The sequence below is a fragment of the Homo sapiens genome, chromosome 13 (genome assembly GCF_000001405.40).
Source record: "Homo sapiens chromosome 13, GRCh38.p14 Primary Assembly".
Lineage (NCBI taxonomy): Eukaryota > Metazoa > Chordata > Mammalia > Primates > Hominidae > Homo > Homo sapiens.
The window spans coordinates 52,218,670-52,245,466 of NC_000013.11; the positions used below are offsets into that span (position 1 = coordinate 52,218,670).

General features: G+C 39.1%; 1 pseudogene across 1 annotated transcript in view, besides 1 other annotated feature; it reads right to left on the reverse strand.

Annotated features, from left to right (window-relative positions):
• Window positions 1–61: 61 nt before the first annotated feature.
• TPTE2P2 (TPTE2 pseudogene 2) overlaps window positions 62–26,797 on the reverse strand; it is a 104,605-nt pseudogene continuing 77,869 nt past the window's right edge. The window contains exons 17-23 of the transcript XR_007063808.1: window positions 16,551–16,612; window positions 14,395–14,475; window positions 10,657–10,762; window positions 8,336–8,427; window positions 4,570–4,662; window positions 3,067–3,137; window positions 62–961 (exon numbers count right to left, since the gene is read on the reverse strand). The product of XR_007063808.1 is annotated as a TPTE2 pseudogene 2 (transcript). The remainder of the gene's footprint in view (window positions 962–3,066; window positions 3,138–4,569; window positions 4,663–8,335; window positions 8,428–10,656; window positions 10,763–14,394; window positions 14,476–16,550; window positions 16,613–26,797) is intronic.
• Window positions 4,033–4,201: a silencer, noted in NCBI's record as "fragment chr13:52796837-52797005 (GRCh37/hg19 assembly coordinates)". NCBI's record gives its function as "represses an EF-1alpha promoter that drives an FKBP-Casp9 reporter gene in an ReSE screen in K562 erythroleukemia cells {active_cell/tissue: K562}" and the evidence as "EXISTENCE:reporter gene assay evidence [ECO:0000049][PMID:32094911]".

A 26,797-nucleotide genomic window follows, 5' to 3' on the forward strand; every position in this document is an offset into this window, starting at 1 on the left:
GGACACAGGGCTAAACACTGTTTACACTGAAAAGATTACCTCCCTTCAGAGTTCCCCCAGGGCTTAGGTGACATTGGTTGTGAGCAGGAGTAGTGGATTTCAAAATAATACACCTAAATTACTCTAAGAACAAATATTTCTTTTGACTTCACTTACAATTTTATACAAAAGCAGAAGTTACTGAAGGTTACTTCTCCTTCATATTTACTACGCCCTTCTTACCCCAACCCCCATGTCTGTGTGTAATTAAAGGAAGCTTGTTAAGTAAGCTACCCATTTAGTGCTTGGAACAAGAGAAAAGTGTGTGTTGGGAGTTGGGGGACTGCTTGTGTGAAATATTTCTCTCTTCTGGGTTTAAAACTTAGTCTTTGCTGCCAATCTGTTAACAGTTTGTAAATCGAGTAGAAGGAAAAATATAAATTAGCTTTCTAATAAACCTGAAATTACAAATGTGAAAAAAAGCAGGGAATAAATACCTGACCAAAAATGTATAAGTAAGTGGGTGTTGGGGGATCACAATTTTTAATTATCTCTCAATTATTTTGATACGAAAGTTCTATTTCAAAGTTCTTCAAAATGACGCCTAATGTTCCTAAGTACTGTGTTCCAAATGTATGTAAATACAAGATGGAAACTGTGAAATATATGCCTTCAAAAAGAAAAAAAACCTGACATTTTATCTGTATATATTTAATAGATTTATAAAGAACATGTGTATACATATATCAATATAGATGTACCAGCAAGGAAGATTTAGAACATATAACTATGTGGCAGGGTTAGAAAGAACATAATTCTTTCCCAGAAGGGGTGCAGGGAACTATACTTAATCAGCTACCAGTTACAACATAACTTAAGTCATTTCTCATTAAAATATATCTCTACTGCATATTCTGGTTGATAAATTTTCCATGTTTTTTGTTTATGAAGATTATCCAATTCATTTCTTTGTAGATAAAGCCTAAGAATAGAAAAAAAAATTGTTACATTTTATTTTGGGGCTAACTGAAAAGCCATGTAGTAGGCACCCTTGTTAGAGCTTGAAGAAACAAACAAAAAAAAGACTTGCTCACCATGAATAGAACCTCAGCCCCTTTTTGTGTCTCAGTTGGCTCCTTCTACCTTTTCGGTGAGACTTAAAAATATCTTAATCTTCAGCAACACATCAGTAACACATGCTACTGATTCTTTTAACGTTGCTTTTTATGGAATTAATGACATCTAGGTTTAATACAGTATCTAAATTTCTATATGTGACAGAAATCAGTCTGATTAGACATGTATCAAAACCCAATAATAAAATACTATATCTCTTTTAATTTATGCCTGAGGTTGCAATTTTTTGAATTTTTGCAATCAGCCCTTGGCGATGACCTTGAGCAGTAGGATATAAATAAATCCCACATGCTTAGCATTCCAATAATGGAACACTAGGCATAAATTGGTTAACCCATTTATGCCTAGTGTTCTAAAAGACAGAAGTTGGCATTTTTGGCTAAACAACAATTTCACAACTAAGAAAAACAGCTTTACCAATAGTATATAAATTTAAATATTACAGAAATCTTTAGAAATTTATATAAAAGTGAAAATAAAGGTGATCTAACTTATTGCTTCCCCAAAATGAACATGGTGTTTCAAAGGAAAAATCTGTATCCTTTACCAAGAATCAATTTGAGGAGCAGCAACAAATGAAGCTCCACCCAGCTCTCACAATTGAGGGACTTTGCTCATGTTAGGAGTCAAAGCTTATTGTTTGTATGCATCCAAGAAACAAATTTTTAAAAAATTTCCATCCAATCCAAAGTTCACTCTATCAAAATCTATTAAATGTGTATGTATTGCAAGTGTGTAGACCAGAGGTTTAATTTACTGTTGCCTTGCTGGACTTAAGGAGTTATTAGATCCAGCTCAGATTTGAAGAAAAGACTAGAACTGGTTGTAACAATAACTACCAATTCATGCCACATGCAATCATAGCAACTGCCTCAACTGTGACCTGAAGCATTTTAAAAATATTTTCTCTTTTTGTATTGAAGAGTATGGTTAATACAAAAAAATCTCAGTTTTTCACCAGCACAGAACAAATGCTACTTAAAGTGGAGAACTTCTAGACTGAGAAATAAGTTTCCAAATATGGCAGAAGGTTTTCTGGGAACAATAATCTCCAAATCCAAGTAATAGTTGTTCTGTTTTTTTGCTTTTTTCTTTAGACAGAGTCTCACTCTGTCGCCCAGGCTGGAGTGTAGTGGTGCGATCTCGGCTCACTGCAATCTGCCTCCTGGGTTCAAGCGATTCTACTGGCTCAGCCTCCTGAGTAGCTGGGATTACAGGCATGTGCCACCACGCCTGGCTGATTTTTGTATTTTTAGTAGAGACGGAGTTTTACCATGTTGGCCAGGCTAGTCTCGAACTTCCAACCTTAGGTGATCCGCCCGCCTCAGCCTCCCAAAGTGCTAGGATTACAGGCATGAGCCACCACACCCAGCCTCCAATTAATAGTTTTTAAGAAAGTTTTCCCAATTCAGTTATTAGAAACCCATGTTTAAATGGGAGACTACCAATTTTAATGATTTTTTAGCTGTATTTCTTAATACTTACTGTGTCTTGTAACTTCTCCTAGATATAAGTGTGTCAGTCAGCTTTTCAGCTAGCTGAAGCTTCCCTAGGTCCTCCCTTACTTTAGCACAAAATTTGGTGGTGGTTCGTCATTGGTAAATCAGCACCTACTGAGGACCTGACATGTTGAAGGTACTGAGCAGATTCATATTGAACTTCTCTGGGAGGAATTTACTTCCACACTTAAGATCTGATTATAATACTTTTGAGCTCATAACACAGTCCTATGGCATGGACCTTGAGGATACTGCAACTGGGGGTCTCAAGAACAACTGTATTTTTAAAATAGCCAACGTAAAAGGAGTAAGGCAATGAACAATGGTGGCTCAAGGATTTTTTGTTTTCTATAAATTAAGCTTATGACAACCAGCAAAAGACTTGCCATTACATCTTATACATAGACATTGAAGATTAGGTTGTTTCTATGGGTTGATATTATATCCATACCCGTTATTTTGTATTAAAGATGTGTTAAACCAGAAGAAAAAAGGGTAGTTGTGATAGTATTTAGGAAAATCCTAAAAAGAAAAAAAAATATTTTAAAAGTAAAATTGATGCCAAGAACTAATCATTCCAAAGAAATCAAAGTTCCTTCCTTTATTCCTTTATATATTTATCAAATAATTATAACCATTCAATAGGTAGCACTCTGCATTCTATAATAACACACTCAAGACACAGAGGAGGAGGCTTAAGAAAATGCTATTGCTTTCTCTTGCTGTTTCTACCAAAATTTTCAAGGAATAGTTTATTTTCCATGATAGATATTTAATTTAAATGCTGAAATTTGAATCTGGTTTAGATAGTGCTAAACAGAATCTACTAAGGACCTATGCTTATATATAGCCAAGTATTTTTGTAGTGAATTCTTACAATTTTTTTGTGCCTCAGCATCCCTTTCAAATATAAATTGGACTTTCTGATATCAGAAGCAGGGTTCAGTCACCCTTGACAGTTTCCAGTTCACCTCCTCCAGGTTTCTCAATGTGACTGATCCCAGTATCTGCCTTATACAACCTTCTGTTGGTGACTACTTCATTATGGGACAGCTAGATATAACCTCCCTACAGACCCCCGTACTCTGCATGGACCATGTGGATATATCAATGACCACCTCTCAGTCACAGCATGACTCCATGGAACTCATGACTGCTTGCATTAAATCCACCAGTTAGACCTCCCCGTAGGAAACCTGCTCAGGTAACACCTTACATCCCAATAAAGGCTTCCACTCTCAGGTCCCTCCCTCGTTCTCGCTATTGCTCCCCACCCATCAGTTGAGCACAGGTCTCCTGGATGGCTCCCCCTTCCAGTTAGCCCTGCGAGGTGTGCTGCCCTCTTCTCTCTGGAATTAATAAAAAACTGCTTTGGTTATTTCATGTGTTGTATTGTGCTGCCTTCTCTGTGTTTCACCCAACTGAGTCACCCAAACCTAACTCTCTTTCAAGTCAGTGCTCCCAGCTACTCAGGAGGCTGAGGTGGGAGGACTGCATGAGCCCAGGAGGTGAAGCTGCAGTTAGCTATGGTCACGCCACTGCACTCCAGCTGGGGTGACAGAGTGAGACCCTGTCTCAATTTGTAATATTAAAAATGATGCAAAACAAAATGTAATCACTGCTATGCAGTAAAACCTACCTTTGGTTTTTTAGCATCTTGGCTTTTATTTTTTTGTATTTATTTTGTATTTTTTGGATTTGTGAATTAATACATGTAAATTTAGAAAAATTTAGAAAATGTACAATTTAGAAAAAACAAATGAACAAAAATTATTCAAATTACATATGTTCTTTTAAAAAATTTGTTATAGATCTGATTTATTTTCTCCCCCTCCCTCTATGGGATGACATCTATCATCTCCCTTGTTGGGAACTGTAGTAAAGGAAACCTTAAATAAAACCATTCAAAAGTTCAGACAAGAACAATGGCAGAGGCCGTTTCTTGATTACTCACTGAAGAGGAAGCTTGCACTTTCACATCATCATACAGAGGTGGACAGTTGAACACATCAGTTATTACCCTGTCTGTTTCAGTGTCATGAAATACCTGTGAATGAACATGGAATTTAGAACTATAAACCTAGCTAATGATAACAATGAAGTTCCTTTTCACTTATCAAGACTTTCTATATTTATCAAGTACTTTTGGTCTCACAGACCAATCACTACATGTATAAATAATTATTAATAATCTTTTCTAGTTGCAATACTGTTGTTTATATGTATGTGTGTCTGGTGTGTATGTGTGCGTGTATATATATACATATATATATATATATGTGTATATATATATATATATATATTTTTTTTTTTTTTTTTTGAGACAGTCTCACTGTCACCCAGGCTGGAGTGCAGTGGTGTGATCTCAGCTCACTGCAACCTCTGCCTCCCAGGTTCAAGTGATTCTCGTGCCTCATCCTCCCGAGTAGCTGGGACTATAGGCGCATGCCACCACACCCAACTAGTTTTTGTACTTTTAGTAGAGATGGGGTTTTGCTATATTGGTCAGGCTGGTCCCAAACTCCAGGCCTCAAGTGATCTGCCTACCTGGGCCTCCCAAAGTGCTGGGATTACAGGGGTGAGCCACCATGCCCACCCTGTTGTTTATGATTTTTAAAGGCCAACATGTTTGAGGGTTATCATGAGGCACTTTTCAAAAGTGTCTCCCTTTTCAAAAGTATTGAATTTTCTATTAGACACTTTAATCAGTTAAATATTATTATTTAATGTGTGTCATTTGATTTTCATACATTAGGGCCTCTTTTGAGAATATGTTAAGAAGCTCAATTTTAAAGCTAGCCTTGACATTCGAAAAACAATGCTTAACTCACGGTTTTTCATTTACTAAATTTAAAAAATAACAACAGGGGTCTGTAACACTTGGGGGGTGGGCCCACCTGCCCCTCCCAAGAGAGGGGAGGGTGGGGTCCCCCGATCATCATGTTTTATCAGAACTCTTGTGTTTGTCAGTGGGATCTTTGGACTTGACCATTACCGGCTGCGGATGGAGTGACCAAAGATAGTTCAAGTTTTGGAATGAATGACTTTGAAGATATACTATTTCTTTGACTCACTCTCATATAAATAATGGCACCCACAGTAAGAAGGATCTATGCTAGGCCCTGTGAAAAACACAAAAGGAGGTGCAGACTCAGTTGGTCCCTTCAGGGAGCTATACACATAAGAAACAATCGCAGAGGCCGGGCCTGGTGGCTCATGCCTGTAATCCCAGCACTTTGGGAGGGCAAGGTGGGCGGATCACGAGGTCAGGAGATCGAGACCATCCTGGCTAACACGGTGAAACCCCGTCTGTACTAAAAAAATACAAAAAATTAGCCGGGCATTGTGGCGGGCGCCTGTAGTCCCAGCTACTCTGGAGGCTGAAGCAGGAGACTGGCGTGAACCCGGGAGGTGGAGGTTGCAGTGAGCCAAGATGGCACCACTGCACTTCAGCCTGGGCGACAGAGCAAGCCTCCGTCTCAAAAAAAAAAAAAAAAAGAAAAGAAAAAAGAAAAAAAGAAACAATTGTAGAATGGAATATAATTCTCAATCTGTATGATGAAGACTGGGTGTGCTCTTATGCACCATTGAAGGCTAGTTAACAGGAGGTGCAGAAAATTTCATTGAGGAGGTAGAAATTGAATTGGGCATGAAAGCTCTGAAAATAGAATCTAGTCCATACAGAGGGAAAAAGACCAGCAATAACGCAAAGTAGAAATTAGAAAAACAACAAAAAAGGTCAGGCAGTGTGGCTCATGTCTATAATCCCAGCACTTTGTGAGGCTGAGGTGGAAGGGTTGCTTGAGCTCAGGAGTTTGAGACCAGCCTGGGCAACATAGCAAGACCCAATATCTACAAAAAATAAAAAAAAAAATTGGGGGACTGCCTGAGCTCAGGAAGTTGAGGCTGCAGTGAGCCATGATCGCGCCGCTGTGCTACAGCCTGGGACAGAATGGGACTCTGACTCAAGGGAAAAAAAAGGAAAGGAAAGAAGGAAGAAAAGAAAGAAAGAACCAACTAACTAACTAAATAACTTAGAGTTGTGTTCCAAGAGCCAAAGGGGATGACCCAGTTTATTTGGAATGGAGTCTGCTGGTCGAGCTACTGATAAAAATAAGCTCAGGTATGTTAGGGCTATTATATCTTAAGAGTTCAAGAGCCAAGGAAATAAGAGTGAGGCTTTTGAAGAATATTGTGGGGTATTTCCTATGTGACAAAGAGGCCTGATAATTATCACATATAACATTTATTTAGTGATTTATAGTTTACAAAGCAACTTCATATATATATTATCTAACTTAATTCCCATAACACTTGAGGTGTGATATTTATTTTACAGGTAAGGATGATAAGCCAAAGATGTTAACTGGCTTCGACCATGGGCATGCAGTGTGTCTTCTGCTCTACCTACAACTTTTCACAATGAGAGCAATATTTCAGTACGCATATTTCAGGATTCTATACATTCCATTATATAAGAATCAAGAAAAGGTAAGGAGAGGATTGTAGAAATCTAGGCATGAGCAAATGAGGTTCTGGAGAGTTAGTGGCAGCGAGAACAGAAAGGAAGGCGAGCACAGAAACATTTCAAAGGCATCATCAACAGGGATTGATGCCTAACTGGATTTAGGGAGCCGAGGCAAAGAGAATCAAAGCCCAAGGCCTGAGTGGGAGAATGCTGGTACCATTTGCAGAAGCAGAGAAAGCTCCTTGATAATTCAGACTGGCTACTGCGTTTCAGTTTGAGTGGAAACTGTTCATGTTGCAGCTCTTGCATCTACAACTCAGTGGGCGACTAGAAATAACTCGTCAGTAAATGAACAAATAATAGTTTAAGTAAGGGAAATGGGTGATTCTTTAACCAAGAATAAAGCATTTGCTAAGAAGAGAAAGCCAAGGATCAGGCCTGGGTGAATGCCCTCAGTTGGGAGAGGCCAAAAAAAGTGAGTGCAGTGCAGAGAGCCAGGGAATAGGATTAGTAATAAAAGAATTTGAGACAAAGGCCTGGGTAGGAATTCTAAAAGTTTATGGTTATTAGACCCATGAAGGAAGCTTTCTTATTGTTTCAGAAAAGGTATATAGTTTTAGGCATTTCTTCATTGTAGCAAAACATTGACTATCAGGTCCCTTTTGCTTTGGATAAAGATATTCCTCCCCAATTCATTCACTCTTGCATTGTTTCTCACAGGGTCATCCCACAGAACCTCTGACTTAGAAGAATCACTTCGGACACTGCTAAGTCTATAGATTCCTGCCCCCATTCCAGATTTCCTGAATCATACTTTAGAGTACAACCTAGGAATGTAAATCTTTACAAGCTTTTCGGTGGTTTTCATGCACACTAACATTTTAGAATCAGTGCTATATAATAAAAGATAAAATGACCGAGAAGAGGAGAATATGGCTAAAAATGACCAGACATGTAAATTAAAATCCTTAATACATTCCTGGGAACATGCTCAGCATTTGTGGAAAAGTGAAAGGCAAAGCAACACTGAACAGAAATAAATTCTGGAAAGTACCCTGAAAAAACTGTTTTGAACAAACAGGTTAATTTATCTCTGGCTTGCATTCAAATCCAGTGACACCATGATGGTAACCAGAAAGCATCGTGGAATCTCTTTATGGTAAGTGATAGTTTAGGGAGGTCAACATTGCTGGTTTGACATTCAGCCTTAAAACAAACATCAGATTTTCTCTATTCACATGTTTTCTCTTACCCGACAATTCTTTAAGGAAGTACAGGAAAAGACAATCTTTTTCTTCATTACTATTTGGACTTTTAGATCATATCCATCGCCTGTTCCAACACCTAAATGAAATTAAAAAGTTAGGTTGGTTAGTGTGAAGATCAAAATGTCTTGCCAATTAACATTATGGATTAAAAAGAGAAAAAAAATGGCTGGGCACGGTGGCTCACGCCTGTAATCCTAACACTTTGGGAGGCTAGGCAGGTGGATCTTTTGAGGTCTGGAGTTCAAGACCAGCTTGATCAACATGGTGAAACCCCGTTTCTACTAAAAATACACAAAAATTAGCCCAGTGTGGTGGTGCATGCCTGTAGTCCCAGCTACTTGGGAGGCTGAGGCAGGAGAATCGCTTGAACCTGGGAGGTGGAGGTTGAAGTGAGTCGAGATTGCACCACTGCACTCCAGCCTGGACCACAGAGTGAGACTTAGAGCAAGACTCTGTCTCCAAAATATATATATATATATATATTTTTTTTTATATATTTAGGGAATAAATATATATATATTTAGGGAATAAATATATATATATCTATATTTAGGGAATATATATATGTATTTAGGGAATAAATATAGATGTATATACATTTAGGGAAGGTGACTTGACACCTTTCTTGCTAATGTGTTGCTTTCTTCAGACTTCTAATCATAATGATTCTTAATAAGAAATACTGTGGTCTAAATTACTTTGGCCCTACTTTAAGTCTAGTTCCTGATGCAATCTCTAAAAAAATATAGGTTATATCCAAAAATTCCCACGGTATTCAACATATATTTACAGACAAAGGCTCTTTTGCCCTTTTTTTTTTTCAATTCAAATGACCCGCTTCCTTAACATTTCCTCAAAGGCTTTGTTTCTCAGGCTCCAATTAATTTTTTATTGCTTTCATCTCAACTCTACATTATTTTTAATTTAAAATGGCACAAAACTAAAAGTTGAGAATTAAAACAAATATTCTAATAAACGAGTGTATTAATTATTCTTGATTGATCATCTCATATGCCGTTTGTTTTCTTTTCATTTAATTTTGTTTTCATTAACACCATGATATTCATTGGTCATTAGAAATCAGTTTCTTGCCTCAGTTCCCTCTTTCCCATTCCAGGTGCAGAACTTCTTTCTATTGATGTCCACCAGAAATCAGTGAAATGTAGAATGAAACTCAGGAGGCTAAAAATACTAGGCTCTCTGTGTGGACACAAGCACCCCGGCACCATGGCACCTATAACACCCAGCAGTGGCACCACCTCAGGTCCACACGCTGGCTGTTATAAGAGGTTTGCTTTAGGGGTTCAGATGCATCGCCTCCCTGCTACCTCTCTGGCAGTGGGAGTGGTGAGACCCCATCCCCTCCACACAGACACATCCTGCTTTCCCACCTCTACTGAGTGTTAAGCTGTGCAGGGGAAGCAAGGTTGGTGATGGAGAAATGGACATGGAAATGGAGGCCAGTTTCTCTCTGCACTTTCTTTCTCAAGTCCCGGAGGTGTACGACTGACCAATTTCCCTGCGTCCCTGGGCAACAGTGCATCCCAGCTTTATCTCTCTGCTTACATTCTGGAAGCAGGCAAATAGCTCTCGTGATGTTTATATGGATTTTTACAACTGCTAATACTCGGTAACAGCTAGGCCGGTGAAAGATACCTCCATAGAGCCCCACTCTCTCGCAACCCTTTCCATTTTCATGTAGATTCAGGCAGGGAAGACCTAAGCGCTCCTCCTAGGAGGCTTTTCTTGACCCCCAGCACTGTGGCTGGGAGTGAGAGCCACAAGGTATGGGAGTGGCTGGGAGTGAGAGGGTTACAGATGGAGGACAGAGGGGAAAGAGAGAGCCCAGGGGGATGAGAAAAAAATATGCCTCTGAAAGAAGGTAAGAAAATGATATGATATGGAGACACCTCCACCAAGACAAACTCTCAACTAGAGGTGGTTTGAGAAATAACCAGTCTTGAAGGCACATGGGACCTCCTCCTCCCTCATCAGAGGCTCACTCTGCCCTGAAAAGTCCACCTTGGGTTGTGACCAGAAGAGCAAAGAGAACAGGAGAGATGGGAAGGGGATGAAGTCCTCCAAATTGGTGATGGAAAAGAAAAAGTGAAGAACATCTAAGGGCTGGCAATCAATGGGCAATTCCAGGAGGAGGAGCATACCTAAGGAGGAGTTTATGCATGAGGATACGTAAAAAGACAGGTATAAGTTAGGATCATCTGTGTATATAACAATGAGCAAAACCCTCCCAGAGTGGGAACCTTGGCCCTCCTGCCCAATTCTTCAATTTTACATAAACACTTACCATGAATCGAATAAATAACGAATCTTTTTATAAACAGTGTTTTTCTTGGAGGGAGATTCCAGTTGTAGCTATGTTTCACTTGTGCAAAATATCCAACATATCTATTCTGAAAAGCAACAGAAGCCTTACTTTAAGTGGAGATGAAAAGCCTGAAGTCAGCATTCCTATTTTCAGTTTTCCCTTTTTTTTTTTTTTTTTTTGCATAAAGCTTAAGGGCAGTAAATAATTAAGGGAACATTTACTGGATGTCATTATGTTACTAGATATTTTGAGGGATGCTGCCTCACAACTATCTACCTTGGGGAAAAAATACTGAATTAAGTGCTATGGGGAAGTGACAAGGATGGAGCCAGGTCTTGTTGACAGGCTGCTTATGGTTGAGAGGGCAACTAATCAGAACCAACAACAAAACAGTTACAGCATTAGCAGTGTGCAGATAGAAGCTTAGTTGTGACTGAGTTAGAGGAAGGTGTGTGGTTTAGTGAAGAGCAGGTTCCTGGGCATGAGAGAATGCCATATGTGAAAACTCAAGAGGAATACCTCCATATCTCAGTAGCAGGTTTCCTGTCATTCTTCTCTTGTTCCTGACAGCTAGGATTTCTTCACTTTCCATTTCCCCAATTCTGTTTTCACAAGGAAGCCCCGGAATTCCCTTAGCCTTGTCCTTTTCCTAGGGCAAGCTGTTCACAGTGGCTCTCCTTGAATCTATCTTCAAGGAGTTGAAGAGCTCTGGTACTGAATCAACTGGTTCAGAACTCAAAAGTTGGCTGGGCTGGTGGCTCACACCTGTAATCTCAGCACTTTGGGAGGCCGAGGTGGGCAGATCACTTGAGGTCAGGGGTTCGAGACCAGCCTGGCCAACAGGGTGAAACCCCGTCTCTACTAAAGCTACAAAAATTAGCCATGCGTGGTGGTGGGCACCTGTAATCCCAGCTACTCGGGAGTCTGAGGCAGGAGAATTGCTTGAACCCAGGAGGTCGAGGTTGCAGTGAGCTGAGACTGCACCACTGCACTCCAGTCTGGGTGACAGACAGATTCTGTCTCCAAAAAAAAAAAAAAAAAGAAGAAGTACTCATAAGTTCATGGACTCTACCTTACCCATTGAGAAATGTTCATAGAAGTAACAAACTGCCATACTTTCCTTTAGAAAGGGCCAGTCATGAGGAAGGCTCATGAAAGTTCTTAACTTAGGAGTAGATGTAGTCAGTAGAATGGCCCACAATGCAGGATCAGAATGTGATGGTATCCGAGAATCACCACCAGACACAGAGGGCACTCTGTCCTGAGGTCTTGCCAACACATCTCTCAAATGTGCAGCTGAGACCCTGTGTTGCCTTCTCAGTCAATCAGAAGAGATTCAGTTGCAGCCTTTGGTGTGCTAGTTCTGGACTAAAGTTCGGGAAACTATGCATGACTACAGAAGAGATGGGGATGGGGAGACGTGTGGGGTGAGTTGCTGAAGGAGCTCTATCTAACATCTCCTTGGCTCCTGCCACCAGATTCTCCACCTTCCCCTAAAGGCTGTAACCTGCCAGGGCCCTCAAGCTGCTTTTGCTCCCATGCTTCTTTCTACTACAACTTAAAACAACATGGACTGGTAGTAGAAATTCATACAACCAACCCATAGGAGGTACTCACTACAAACAAAGAAGATATTATGAGGAAAGGGTGGAAAGATGGGTAAGCCATGGGCCTTGCCTTTAAAGGGGAAACAGAAGTCACCACTTCAAATAGCTAGAGAACAATGCAAAGTGATATCATCCCTAAGAGAAACACAAAGGGCTTTAGGAACTGAAAAAGCAAGAGACTACTTCAGGCTGGGAAGGGAAAGGGACTCTAGGAAAAGGGGCATGAGAAATGGCACGAGGGAATCAAGTGTCCATGGGCTGGGAAACAGCACACAGTCTAAATGTGTTAGAGTGTGGGATGTGTGCATGCACATAGTGGAAGAAAAGGTTGGAAAAGTCAAACTGTGGATCTTGAGTGCCAGGTTGAAACATTTAGTTTATTGCTACTGGCAGTGGGGACATACTCTGGATTTTGAGCATGGAAATGGCATGAGTAGGGCTGCACTTCAGTAAATCCACACATTCCTTTTCGCTTAGGGTCTATGACTGTTCTTTGTCTGGTTTTGTTTTTGGCTTGGGTGTGGGAGAAAAGTATCAGTGGATAAGGCTGAGTTCTTTTGCCCAAACTAAACGGGGACAGTAGTTAGTGTTCTTATAACAGGGCCAAGAGTACTTATTCAGTTCCCACCACCTAAAGAAAAACTCATTTACAGCCACATCCAAATCTATTTGAGAATGCCCAACCCACTCTCACTTCGGTTTGAGGGGCAATATAGAAAAGGCAATATAAATGAGAAGCTGTGCACAGCATGGGCTTCAGAGTCTGACATCTAGATTTCAGTCCTTGGTTCAAAAGTTAATTTCTCTGAACCTCAATTTTCTAATTTATAAGATGAGAATCATAGGAGTGCCTACTCATAGAGTTACTGAGAATATTAAATGAGATAGTGAATGTAAAACTCTTAGAATGGTTCAGCAAAGTCTAGAATGTTGTAAATGCTATACGATAAACATTCTGGTTTCTGCAGTAAACAAATTACAAGCAATAAAAAATGGCAAGAAATCTATGAACTAAAAGAGACTTAGGAGACATAGCGACCAAATGAAATGTGTGGATGTTGTTTGAATTCTGACTGAAACAAACTAAATTTTCAAAGATTTTAAGACAATTTTGGAAACAAACATGGACTAGAAATTTGATATTAAGGATTTTTAAGGTGTAATATTTCAGATATGATAAAAGTTATTAAGGGTTTTTTGTTGTTGTTTTAAGAGTACTTAGATGTCATACTAAAATACTTGTGGGATAAAATGATCTGATGACTGAAATTTCCTTCCAAATAATCCAGGTTTGGGGAAAGCAAGAGTGGAGAGTGGGGTTGGGGGTGTGAGTGGAGTGGGAAAAGTATGGATGAAACGTGGCTGGCTGCAGGCTGAAATGATTGTTGCAGCGAAGCGATGACTACATGGAGATATATTGTATGATTCTCTGGACTTTTGTATATGATTAAAATTTTCCATAACAAAATTATTTTTAAAAGAAAAAATAGAGTAACAGCATATGTTTCATATAGGTGTTATGGGTTTTCAATGAGATATGTAAAAGTGCGGTACTGTCTGGTATATAAAAGGGTTTTTGAAAAGTTTATTTCCCCTTTTCTTTCTCTTTTAAAATACACCTCCCCCACAACACACACACACACACACACACACACACACACACACACACACACACACACGGGAGTCACCCAAAAACAGTCTTTGTGATGTTCTGCAAGGGTTGAATTGCCCTAATAAGGATCTGTGAAAGACTTAGATCTTTTTTACATTGAAATCAAAGGCTGGTGATTTTAGATAAACTTCAGGGTCCTGGAGCCTTAGGTATTGGACTTTCCTGCTTTGGGAAAATAATCAACTCCTGAGCTCCGTAAACAATAACCAGTATAGAATAGAAAACAGGATGCTCTGAGGAGAAGCCAGACCCCCCAACGTGTGGGTGGCACCTGAAGCATGACCCTTAGCATCAGGGAGGGACCAAGGCCTGTCGCAGGGTGCCCTAATGCTGCTGACTGATCACCAAAGGAGAAGAGTCTAAAATGAAACCAAATAACAGATGGCAATCTTAACCCACTCCCCTACAAAAGCTCCCTTTCTTAAAACGAAAACTTACCTGAGAAGGAGTTTCTACTCCCTGATATTTAGTGCCATTGGTTTTATCTGTTCGCCGTTCTCCAAAATAGTACAATCTTTCCTACAAAAAAGGAACCATGGTTCATCTGCACTCTTTCCTTTTCTATATTAGGTACCTTAGTCTTTCTAAAACCACCTTCTTTCCTAAAGTCAGTGATTTTTTTTTTTTTTATGGAGTCTCGCTCTGTCACGCACACTGGAGTGCAGTGGCAGAATCTCACCTCACTGCAACCTCTGCCTCGCGAGTTCAAGCGATTATCTTGCCTCAGCATCCTGAGTAGCTGAGACTACAGGCGTGTACCACCACACCTGGCTAATTTTTTGTATTTTTAGTAGAGATGGGGGCTTTGCCATGTTGGCCAGGCTGGTCTCGAACTCCTGACTCAAGAGATCCGCCTGCCTTAGCCTCCCAAAGTGCTGAGATTACAAGCATGAGCCACCGCGCCTAGCCGCAGTGGTCTTTTGGCAAAGGCTACCCAAATTACCAAAATTAACAAAGTCACATCAAAGACTTCTCTCATTCAAGGTTTCATAAAGACATAAAAGTTTAGAGCTGGAAAGACCTTAGAAATCATCTGGTCCAACCCTTCTTTCCATCTTACAAATGAGAAGACTGAGACCAAAAGAAAACTACACAATCTGCCATGGAGATGCTGCAGCCAGTTAGAAGCAGCACAGGCCTGAAATACAAGTCTCTGGTTTTCAGTCTAGGGCTCTGTATCAGTGGCTTTCAAACTTTTCATTTTTTAAGTTGCAATCCACATTAATAAACCTCGGAGAAGTACACACACACACACACCAATACTTAAACCTTTTCAGATTTTCTATTCTGCTCTATTCCATTTTATTTAGTTTTAGCTTTAGTTTTTTTTTGTTTTTTTTTTTTGAGACGGAGTTTCACTCTTACTGCCCAGGCTGGAGTGCTATGGCCCGGTCTCAGCTCACCACAACCTCCACCTCCTGGGTTCAAGCGATTCTTCTGCCTCAGCCTCTCAAGTAGCTGGGATTACAGGCATGCACCACAATGCCCAGCTAATTTTGTATTTTTAGTAGAGACAGGGTTTCTCCATGTTGGTCAGGCTGGTCTCAAACTCCTGACCTCGGGTGATCCATCCGCCTCGGCCTCCCGAAGTGCTGGGATTACAGGCATCAGCCACCGCACCTGGCCGATTCCATTTTATTTTTAAGAGATGTTAGTCACAACCCAGTAACTTTATTTTACAACTCACTGATACATCATGATCCATAGCTTGAAAAACACCATCCTAGAACATCCATTTTCAAAATCTGTGTGTCTCAAATTAGAAAAACCAAAGGTGGTGGAATTAGAGTGCTGGGCATTGTGCAGAACCACCACTTCTTCCCTAGACTGTAGGCCAAACAACTCAAGCGGAGCTGCTGGAAATGGTAGCATCTCAGCAAGAAAATGGCAGAAAGAAAAATGACTGAGAACACTGCTGTAGGTGGAAACAGCCCACCTTGTCTTATCAGAAATTTCTAGAGGCCACAGACTCCACATGTGTTGACTAAGCAGAGGTATTTACATGCAGGAGAGGCTTTGAGTTGTGAAATGTTGCCTTTTATCTACCTAAGAGGTGTGAGGATGGCCAAGGCCCTTTGGAAAATTTATCTAATTAAGCTTGATACTATTCTCATGAGGAAGGAAGAACAGCAGGGCCAGGTGAGGTGAGGGAACCATTGCGATTACTGAATGTTTTTTGTATCTGTGTAACATGGCTTTACTCCCCTCACCTTAATCCTGCCCCATCAGGTCTTGTCATTATTTAAAATGTTAATATTGTATACCTCATGGTTTTTTTGCATTAATTTTTATTTTTTAAATATTGCATGAAAAATCATTTATTTTAATTATTGCAATTTTTAGCATTCTCTTAAATTCTGCGCCTCATTTGACCTCACTCTAGTCCTGGCCCAAAGAGATTCTTAAGCCAGCTACTAACCAGTGCATGTTAAACAAGGAAGTATCAAAAACAGACTTTTTAACAACCGCTTCTCCAATTACAATTTCACTAAGCACCATGACTAAAATAATCATCTTAACATCCTACCAGTGATGTTTCAGAACTAGCAAACTCAGTCATCCTAAGACAAAGTTTGTAGTAACATCTTTCATACCTCTGCAGTTAAAAATATTTCACTGGCAATCAGGCAGGCACAAACCATAGTTCCGGTTCTTCCTAGAAAAGAAAAGTTAGTTCAAGGAACATGCTTGGTATAAAAATACACTCAGAAATATTCCAGGAGTTCATTTTAAGTTGATTTTCTTTCTTTTTTTTTGGGACAGTCTCGCTGTGTCACCCAGGCTGCAGTGCACTGGCACGATCTCAGCTCACTGCAACCTCTGCCCCACAGGTGGAAAATAAATTACATTTACGGTAAAAATATTTCTCACTACCTCTCCACGAAAGAACAAGATGAGGTTTTTACTAAATCTATTCGAAAGCAATAATTCATGTCTTATATAAATTCCTTTGGGTAACAGTAAGAAAGAAAAATTCCCAACTCATTTAGTAACACTAATATAGCTGGTTCCAAAACTGCATAAATACAGTAGACGATTACTTTATACCAGTCTGACATATAAATGTAGATATAAAAATATATATATTTTTTCAAAGTGAATTCAGCAGTGTAGAAATACCACGTATCAATACCAAGTGCCATTTCTCTTAAGAATGCAAGGATTTTTTTCCAAGACGGCAGATTACAGGCTTTTAGCATGCCTCAGCCATTTGGAAATAGCAAGATAGTACATAAAGATCAACTCTGTGAACTTTAATTCAAGAAAGAAAACGACAACTCCCTGGAATTATGAAGGACACCCCAGATCCTTGGGAGGACAACGCAGGCAAACAGCTCTTGTGACAACATTCGACTGATAAAAGCGAGTGAAGCCTCAGTATGTGAGAGAGGCAGACAGCATCCCTCTGTCTTACCTTTCCACTGGGGATCCAAGCAACCCGGACCGAGGAAGGGCACTGTTTCTCCCAAGTCCTGGAGCTAATTTAACGAGAGACTTGGAGACTTTGTGAGGAAAAGACACAAGGAAAAGCTGCAGGCATTTTCCCAAACCTGGACTGAGAGCAGGACAACACTGGGGAACCTTCCCCATCTGGCTCCACCCATCTTCCTCCCACACCCCCACCTAACTCCCGTTCCCCTAGGGTTTAGGAGGGAGCTCAGATTAATGTGTACTCCAGGAATCAGCTCATTGCCTAAGGCAACAGAGAGCTCTTCCCAATAAACAAACAGCAAGTATATAGCCAGCACCACTGGCCACAGCCAGCTCTTACCCATTGGCGCCATCTACTGGCTTGTAGGTCAAACCACATACCCAATATAAAACCTGCTGATAGAAGTGCATATAGAGGCAAGGCCAAAAGACCTACCTAGCATTGCTCTAAAGTCACATCACCTAAGGAGGAGGGAAAGGGAAAGCATAATAATAATAATAATGATATAGGAAAGAAAAGATAAAGAAAAAATCCTACCCACATAAAAACAGTTACAAAAATTAGAAGTGCTAGCATCTCCAGATGAGAAGAACCAGTACAAGAATTCTGGCACCATGAAAAACCTGCATGTAGTGATACCACCAAAGGATCACACTAGATCTCTGGCAATGCTTTCTACCAAAATGAAAACTCAGAAATGACAATAAAGAATTCAAAGCATGGATTCCAAGGAAGCTCAATGAGATTCAAGGTTGAAATCAACAAAAGGAAACTTCTAAATCAATTCAGCAAATGAAGGAAGAGATAAACATCTTAAAAAGAAATCAATCAGAACTTCTGGAATTAAAAAAACTCACTTAAGGAATTTCAAAATACAATGGAAAGATTTATCAATAAACTGGACCAAGCAGAGGACATAATTTCAGAGCCTGAAGACTGGTCTTTTGAACTAATGCAGTCAGACAAAAATAAAGAAAAACTATTTTTAAAAAGTGAGGAACGTCTTTGAGAAATAGGTTATGTGAAGTGACCAAACCTACAAATTACTGGCATTCCCTAGAGACAAGGAGAAAAAGAAAACAACCTGGAAAACATATTTGATGCAATCATTCAAGAAAATTTCCTGAATCTTGCTAGAAAGGTAGACATCTAGATACAATAAAGCCAGAGAACACCTGCGAGATACTATAAAAAAGTGGACATTACCAAGGCATATACCAAACAGTCCAAGGTCAACGTTAAAGAAAAAATCCTAAGGCCAGATCACATACAAAAGGAGCCCTATCAGGATAACAGCAGACGTCTCAGCAGAAACCTTAAAAATCAGGAGAGATTGGGAAGGTGTATTTTCAGAATTCTTAAAGAAAATAAATTCTAATCAAGAGCATCCTGCCAAACTAAGCTTCATGAGCGAAGGACAAATAAAGATCTTTTTTTCCAGAGAAGCAAGTGCCATGAGAATTCATTAAAACTAGACCAGTCTTACAAGAGATCCCTAAGGGAGTTCTAAACATGGAAATAAAAGAATGATACCTGCTACCATAAAAGCACACTTAAGTACACAGCTCACAGAGCCTATAAAACAACAATACAACAGAAAGTATAAAGCAACCACCTAACAATGTCATGATAGGGTGAAAAGCTCACGTCAATATTAACCTTGAATGTAAATAGTCTAAACACACCACGTAAAAGTCACAGAGTGGCAAGTTGGATAAAAAAACAAAACCCATCTGTCTGCTGTCTTCAAGACACCATCTCACATGTAACAACACCAACAGGTTCAACGTAAAGGGTTGGAGAAAGATCTCTCACACAAACAAAACACCAAAAAGAGCAGGGATCACTATTCCTAAAACAGATAAAACAGGCTTTAAACCAGCAATAGTAAAAAAGGACAAAGAAGGGCATTACATAATGATAAGGGGTTCAATTCAACAAGAAGCCTTAACAATCCTAAATATATATGCACCCAACATTGGATCACCCAGGTTAATAAAACAGGTACTTCTAGACCTATGAAAAGACTCAGCCACATAATAATAGTCAGGAGACTTTAACACCCCACTGACAGCATTAGACAGATCATTCAGATAGAACACTAACAGAGGAATTACGGACGTAAATTCAACACTTGACCAACTGGATGTAATAGGCACCTAAAGAACACTCCATGCATCAACCACAGAATATACATTCTTCTCATTTGCACAGCGAATGTATTCCAAGATCAACCATATGTTCCACCATGAAGCAAGCCTCAATAAATTCAAAAAATGTTGAAATCATACCAACCATTTTTTTTGGACCACAGTTGAATAAAAATATAAATCAATATCAAGAAGATCTCTAAAAACCAAACAATTTCATGGAAATGAAACAACTTGCTCCTGAATGACTTTTAAGCAAATGATAAAATTAAGGTAGATATCAAAAAATTCTTTGAAATAAATGAAAACAGAAACACAACATACCAGAATCTCTGGGATGCAGCAAAAGCAGTGTTAATAGGAAAGTTTATGGTGCTAAATGTGTACCTCAAAAAGCTAGTAAAATCTCAAATTAATAATGTAACATTACACCGAGAGAAATCAGAAAAACAAGAACCCCAAACCTAGCAGAAGAAAAACAATAACTAAAATCAGAGCAAAACTAAACAAAATTGAGACCCCAAAATTAAAACAGAGATTCAAAGAAACCAAGTCATTTCTTTGAAAACATAAACAAAATTGATAGACTGCTAGCTAGATTAACAAAGAAAAAGAAAGAAGATCCGGATAAGCACAATCAGAAATCACAAAGACGACATCACAACCAATCCCACAGAAATACAAAAGGTCCTCAGAGACTATTATGAACACCTCTATGCACACACACTAGATAATGTAGAGGAAATGAATACATTCCTGGCAACACAGAACTTCCCAAGATTGAATCAGAAAGAAATTGAAACCCTCACCAGACCAGTATCAAGCTCCAAAATTGAATCCATAAGTTAAAACCCGCCAACCAAAAAAGTCTTAAATCAGATGTATTCACAGATGAATTATATCAAATATACAAAGAAGAACTGGTACCAGTTCTACTGAAACTATTCCAAAAACTCCAGGAGGGATTCTTCCCTAATTCATTCTATGAAGCCAGCATCACCCTGAAACCAAAACCTGGCAAACACACAATTAAAAAAAAAAAAAAAGAAAACTAAAGGCTAATCTCAATGATGAAGATAGGCACAAAAATCGTTAACAAAATACCAGCAAACTGAATCCAACAGCACATCAAAAAGTTAATTCACCATGGTCAAGTAGGCTTCATTCCAAGGATGCAAGGTTCTGCATATGCAAATCAATAAATGTGATTCACCACACAGAAACCATATGAACATCTCAATAGATGCAAAAAAAAACTTTTGATAAAATTCAACATCCTTCTTGACAATAAACACTCAAGAAACTAGGCATTAAAGGAATACACTTCAAAACAGAGCCTTCTATTATGAACCCACAGCCAACATTATAACAGGCAAAAGCTGGACGCTTCTCCTTGTCAACTGGGACAAGACAAGGATGCCTAATCTCACCACTCCTATTTCACATAGTAGTAAAAGTCTTTGCCATAGCAATCAGGCAAAAGAAAGAAAAAAATGGCATCCAAATAGGAAAATAAAAAGTCAAACTATCTCTCTTCATCAACGATATGATTCTATATCTTCAAAATCCAAAAGACTCCACCAAAAGGCACTTGAAACTGATACATTACTTCAGTAAAGTTTTAGGATACAGAATCAATGTACAAAAATCAGTAGCATTTCTATACACCAATAATGTCCAAGCTGACAGCCAAATCAAGGACATAATCCCCTTTACAGTAGCCACACAAAAAATAAAATACTTAGGAATACAGCTAACCGAGGAGGTGAATGATCTCTACAAGGAGAACTGCAAACCACTGCTGAAAGAAATCATAGATGACACAAACAAATGGAAAAACATTCCATGCTAATGGACTGGAAGAATCAATATCATTAAAATGGCCATGCTACCAAAAGCAATATACAGAATCAACATTTTTCCAATCAAGCTACTAACATCATTTTTCACAGAACTAGAAAAATCTAATTCACATGGAACCAAAAAAGAGCCGGAATAGCCAAAGCAATCCTAAGCAAAAAGAACAAAGCCAGAAGCATCACATTACCCAACTTCACACTACGCCATAAGGCTATAGAAACCAAAAGAGCATGGTACTGGCAGGAAAAAAAAATTGATCAAAGGAAGAGAATAAAGAACTCAGAAATAAAGCCAAACACAGAAAGCCATCTGATCTTTGACAAAGTCAACAAAAATAAGCAATAAGGAAATGACTTCCTATTCAATAAATGGTGCTAGGATATTGGGCTAGCAATATGCAAAAGAATGATCTGGACCTATACCTTTCACCATACACAAAAATTAACTAAAGATAGAAAGACCTCAAACTATAAGAATACTAGGAGAAAACCTAGAAAACAGCATTCTGGACGCTGACCTTGGGGAAGAATTTATGACTAAGCTTTCAAAAGCAATTGCCACAAAAAACTGACAAGTGGGACCTAATTAAACTGTAGAGCTTCTGCACAGCAAAGAACCTATCAACAGAGTAAACAGACAACCTATAGAATGGGTGAAAATATTTGCAAACTATGCATCTCACAAAGGTTTAATATTCAGAATCTATAAGAAACTCAACAATTAAACAAGCAAAAAAAACAAATAACCCCATTAAAAATGGGCAAAAGATATAAACATACACTTCTTAAAAGAAGACATACCAGTGGCCAACAAACATGAAAAATGCTCCACATCACTAATCATCCGAGAAATGCAAATCAAAACCACAACATGATTACATCTCATACCAGTCGGAATGGCTATTATTAAAGAGTCAAAAAACAACAGATGCTGACAAGGCTGCAGAGTATACACATATACACTGCTAATGGGAATGTAAATTAGTTCAGCTACCTGGAAAGCAGTTTGGAGATTTCTCAAAAACTTAGAACTACCATTTGACATTGCAATCCTATTACTGCGTATGCATCCAAAAGAAAGTAAGTTGTTCTAACAAAAAGACACAGGCCCTGGCATGCTCTTCTCAGCACTACTGACAACAGGAAAGACACAGAATCAACCTAGGTGCCCATCAGTGGTGGACTGGCTTAAGAATATGTGGTACATACACACCATGGAATACTACACATTCATAAAAAAATAATATCATGTCCTTTGCAGCATCATGGATGCAGCTGGAAGTCATTATCCTAAGCAAATTAATGCAGGAACAGAAAACCAAATACCATATGTTCTCACTTATAAGTGAAAGCTAAACAATAGATGCTCATGGATATCAAGGTGGCAATAATGGACACTGGAATTCTAGAGGGGGCACAGCAGAAGGGGACACAGGTTGAAAAACTATTGGGTCCTATGCTCAGTACCTGGGTGATGGGATCAATCATACCCCACACCTCGGTATCACACAATATACCCAGGTAATAAACCTACACATGTACTTCCAAATCTAAAATCAAAGTGGAAATTATACCAAAAAACTAAGCTCAAAAAAAAAAAAATTTCTTTGCCCATTAAAAAAACAAATAAAAATACAAGAATCATCCTAGGCCGGGCGCGGTGGCTCTTGCCTGTAATCCCAGAACTTTGGGAGGCCGAGGTGGGCGGATCACGAGGTCAGGACATCTAGACTATCCTGGCTAACACGGTGAAACCCCGTCTCTACTAAAAATACAAAAAAATTAGCCGGGCGTGGTGGCGGGCGCCTGTAGTCCCAGCTACTCGGGAGGCTGAGGCAGGAGAATGACGTGAACCCGGGAGGCGGAGCTTGCAGTGAGCCGAGATCACGCCACTGCACTCCAGCCTGGGCGACAGGGCGAGACTCCGTCTCAAACAAACAAAAAAGAATCATCCTATATCAGAAATCTATATTAATGTAATTTATCATATTCACAGATTAAAGTAGACATACCTTGCAATTATGTCAATTAATGCAGAGAAAGCATTAACTAAAATTCAACCTACAACTGTGACTTTAAAAATTAATAAAAACTAGGACACTTCTTTAACTCAACAAAGGGAATCTACCAAAACACCTACCAGGAACATCATATTAATGATGTAATATTGATAGCATTTTCTTTAAAGCCTGGAATTAAGCAAAAATGCCCTCTGTTCACTGCTTCCATTTAACAATGTACTGCAGAGCCTAGCCAGTGTAGTAAGTCCGTGTAGTCAGTAAATCTATAGAATAACTCATTAATCTAACAAGAGAGTTGAGAGAGTTTAGGAAGATTTCTAGATGCAGGCTCAACATAAACAAAAATTAATAGCTAAATCAAGGATTCAGGTTGAAATCTTTACAGTAATTACTAAAAAAATAGAAAAGGAGTATATAACTTCCAAGGTAATGGGAGAGAGTGAGAAGGAAAAAATTATCAAAATTCAATCAAACCAAAACACAAGTCAGTAAGAATATAGAAGAGTTAAATAAATTAACAAATGCACGTACATAGAACATTGTTCTCAACAATGCATAATACGTGTTCTTTTCAAGTGTACAGAAAACATTTAACAATATCAACCAAATTCTAGGCCATAAACCAAGTCTACACAAATTTGGAAGAAAAAAAAAATAGTATGTTCTGTGTCCACAGCACAATACAACCAGAAATGAAAAACTTTTTTTTTTTTTTTTCAGATGGAGTTTCGCTCTTGTTGCCCAGGCTGGAGTACAATGGCGTGTTCTTGGCTCACCGCAACCTCCGCCTCCTGGGTTCAAGCGATTCTCCTGCCTCAGCCTCCCGAGTAGCTGTGATTACAGGCATGTGCCACCACACCTGGCTAATTTTTGTACTTTTAGTAGAGACGAGGTTTCTCCATGTTGGTCAGGCTGGTCTCGAACTCCTGACCTCAGGTAAACCACCTCCTCGGCCTCCCAAATTGCTGGGATTACAGGCGTGAACCACTGCGCCTGGCTTCACAAATAAAAAACTTAAAGATAAATGCAAAAGTCTCCTATGTTTGCAAATAAGGAAGTATACTTCTACACAACTCACGGGTCAAAAAAAAAAAAAACCACCAAGCACAGTGAAAATTGGAAAATAATTTGAACCCAATAAAATGAAAATATTACATATGAAAACTTGTGGGACGAAGCTAAAGCAACTCTTAGAAGAAAATGTATAGCCTTAAATGCTAAACAGAAAACAGAGTGGTCGACACTCTAAGAATTATTCATCTCAAGAAGTCAGGAAAAGAACAAATTAACCCATGGAATACAAAAGAAAATACTAAATATAATACTAATTCATGAAATAAAAAGTAAATAATAGAGTCCATTAGTAAGCCCAAAAATTTGTTATTTTATTTATTTATTTATTTATTTATTTATTTTTGAGATGGACTCTCGCTCTGTAACCCAGGCTGGAATGCAGTGATGCGATCTCAGCTCACTGCAAGCTCTGCCTCCCGGGTTCACGCCATTCTCCTGCCTCAGCCTCCCGAGCAGCTGGGACTACAGGCGCCCGCCACCGCACCCGGATAATTTTTTGTGTTTTTAGTAGAGACGGGGTTTCACCGTGTTAGCCAGGATGGTCTAGATGTCCTGACCTCGTGATCCGCCCGCCTTGGCCTCCCAAAGTGCTGGGATTACAGGCATGAGCCACCGCGCTCAGCCACATTTGTTACTTTTAAAAGACTAGTAAAATTGATAATTCCCTGGTGAGACTAATCAAAAGAAACAAAGGGAGAAGGCACCAAGAAAATAATGTAAGGAATAAAAAGGGAATGCCCCTGTAGACATTAAAATGGTAAAGTGATATTGTGAATAATCTGATGCCAAGACATTCGCAAACTTAGATTAAATGGACAAATGCTGGGAAAACAATAACCTACCAAAACAGGCTAAGGAAATAAAATTAGAGAGAATTCTATATACGAAACTGAGCGATAATTTAAAAACTTCTCCCCAGAGAAAACTCTAGACAAATGTAGCTTCACAGGTGAATTTCATCGTACACTTAAAAAGAAAAAAAAAACCAGCACGCATAAATTCATCGAGGGAATAAAAAAAGAGAAAATGAAATCTAACTCATTTTATGAAGCCAAGATTTGAAAAAACTATGAGAAAGGAAAATTACAACCAATCACACTGATGACATGAATTTGAAAATCCTCAACAAATATTAACAAATAGAATCCAGGAATTTAATTTAAAAAGTTTAATAATTATTTAATAAAATAGTATACCACAACTCAATCACATTTATTCCAGAAATATGTTGGTTTACCACTTAATCAATCATGTAATTAGCCACATTTATTTATAAGATAAAGGGGAAAAATTATCATCTCAAAGATTCAGAAAAATCTGGAAAAATTCAACATCCATTCATGATTAAAAAAAAAACTCTCTCAGCAAACTAAAGACATTGTTTTTTCTTTTTTCTTTCTTTTTTTTTTTTTTTGTTGAGCCAATGTCTCGCTCTGTCACCTAGGCTGGAGAGCAGTGGTGTGATATTGGCTCACTGCAATCTCTGCATCCTGAGTTCAAGCAATTCTCGTGCCTCAGCCTCTGGAGTAGATGGTATTACAGGCATGCACCACCACACCTGGTTAATTTTTTATTTTTTAGTAGAGATGGGGTTTCATCATGTTGCCCAGGCTGGTCTGAAATGATGTGCCCCACTGGGCCCCGCAAAGTGCTGGGATTACAGGCGAAAGCCATGGCGCCTGGCTAAGGAATTTCTTCATCTGATAAATGGTAGCTCACACACACACACACACACACACACACACGCTCGTAAAGCAATTGGAGAGACACTGAAAGCTTTTCCTTTGAGAATAGAAGTGTACACTGATGGCTGCTGTTGCCACTTCTAATTCAACACTGTACTGAAGGTTCTAGCCAGTGCTAGGGAGAAAAATGACTGAAAAGGAAAAAATACAATGTATTATTTTCACATGATATAACTGTGTACTATAAAATCCAAAAGAATCTATAGATAATTTAGTAGAACTAATAAGTGAGTTTAGGCTGGGCACAATGGCTCAGGTCTGTAATCCTAGCATTTTAGGAGGCAGAGGCTGAGGCTGGCAGATCACTTGAGCCCAGGAGTTTGAGACCAATCTGGGGCAACATGGCAAAACCCCGTTTCTACAAAAAAATAAAAAAATTAGCTGGGCATGGTGGCACCTGCCTGCAGTCCTAGCTACTCGGGAGGCTGATGTGGGAGGGATTCCCTGAGCCCAGGGAGGTTGAAGCTGCAGTGAGCCATGATCGCATCACTGCACTCCCGCCTGGGTGACAATGAAACCCTATCTCAAAACACACAAACAAACAAAAAAAAAGTGAGTT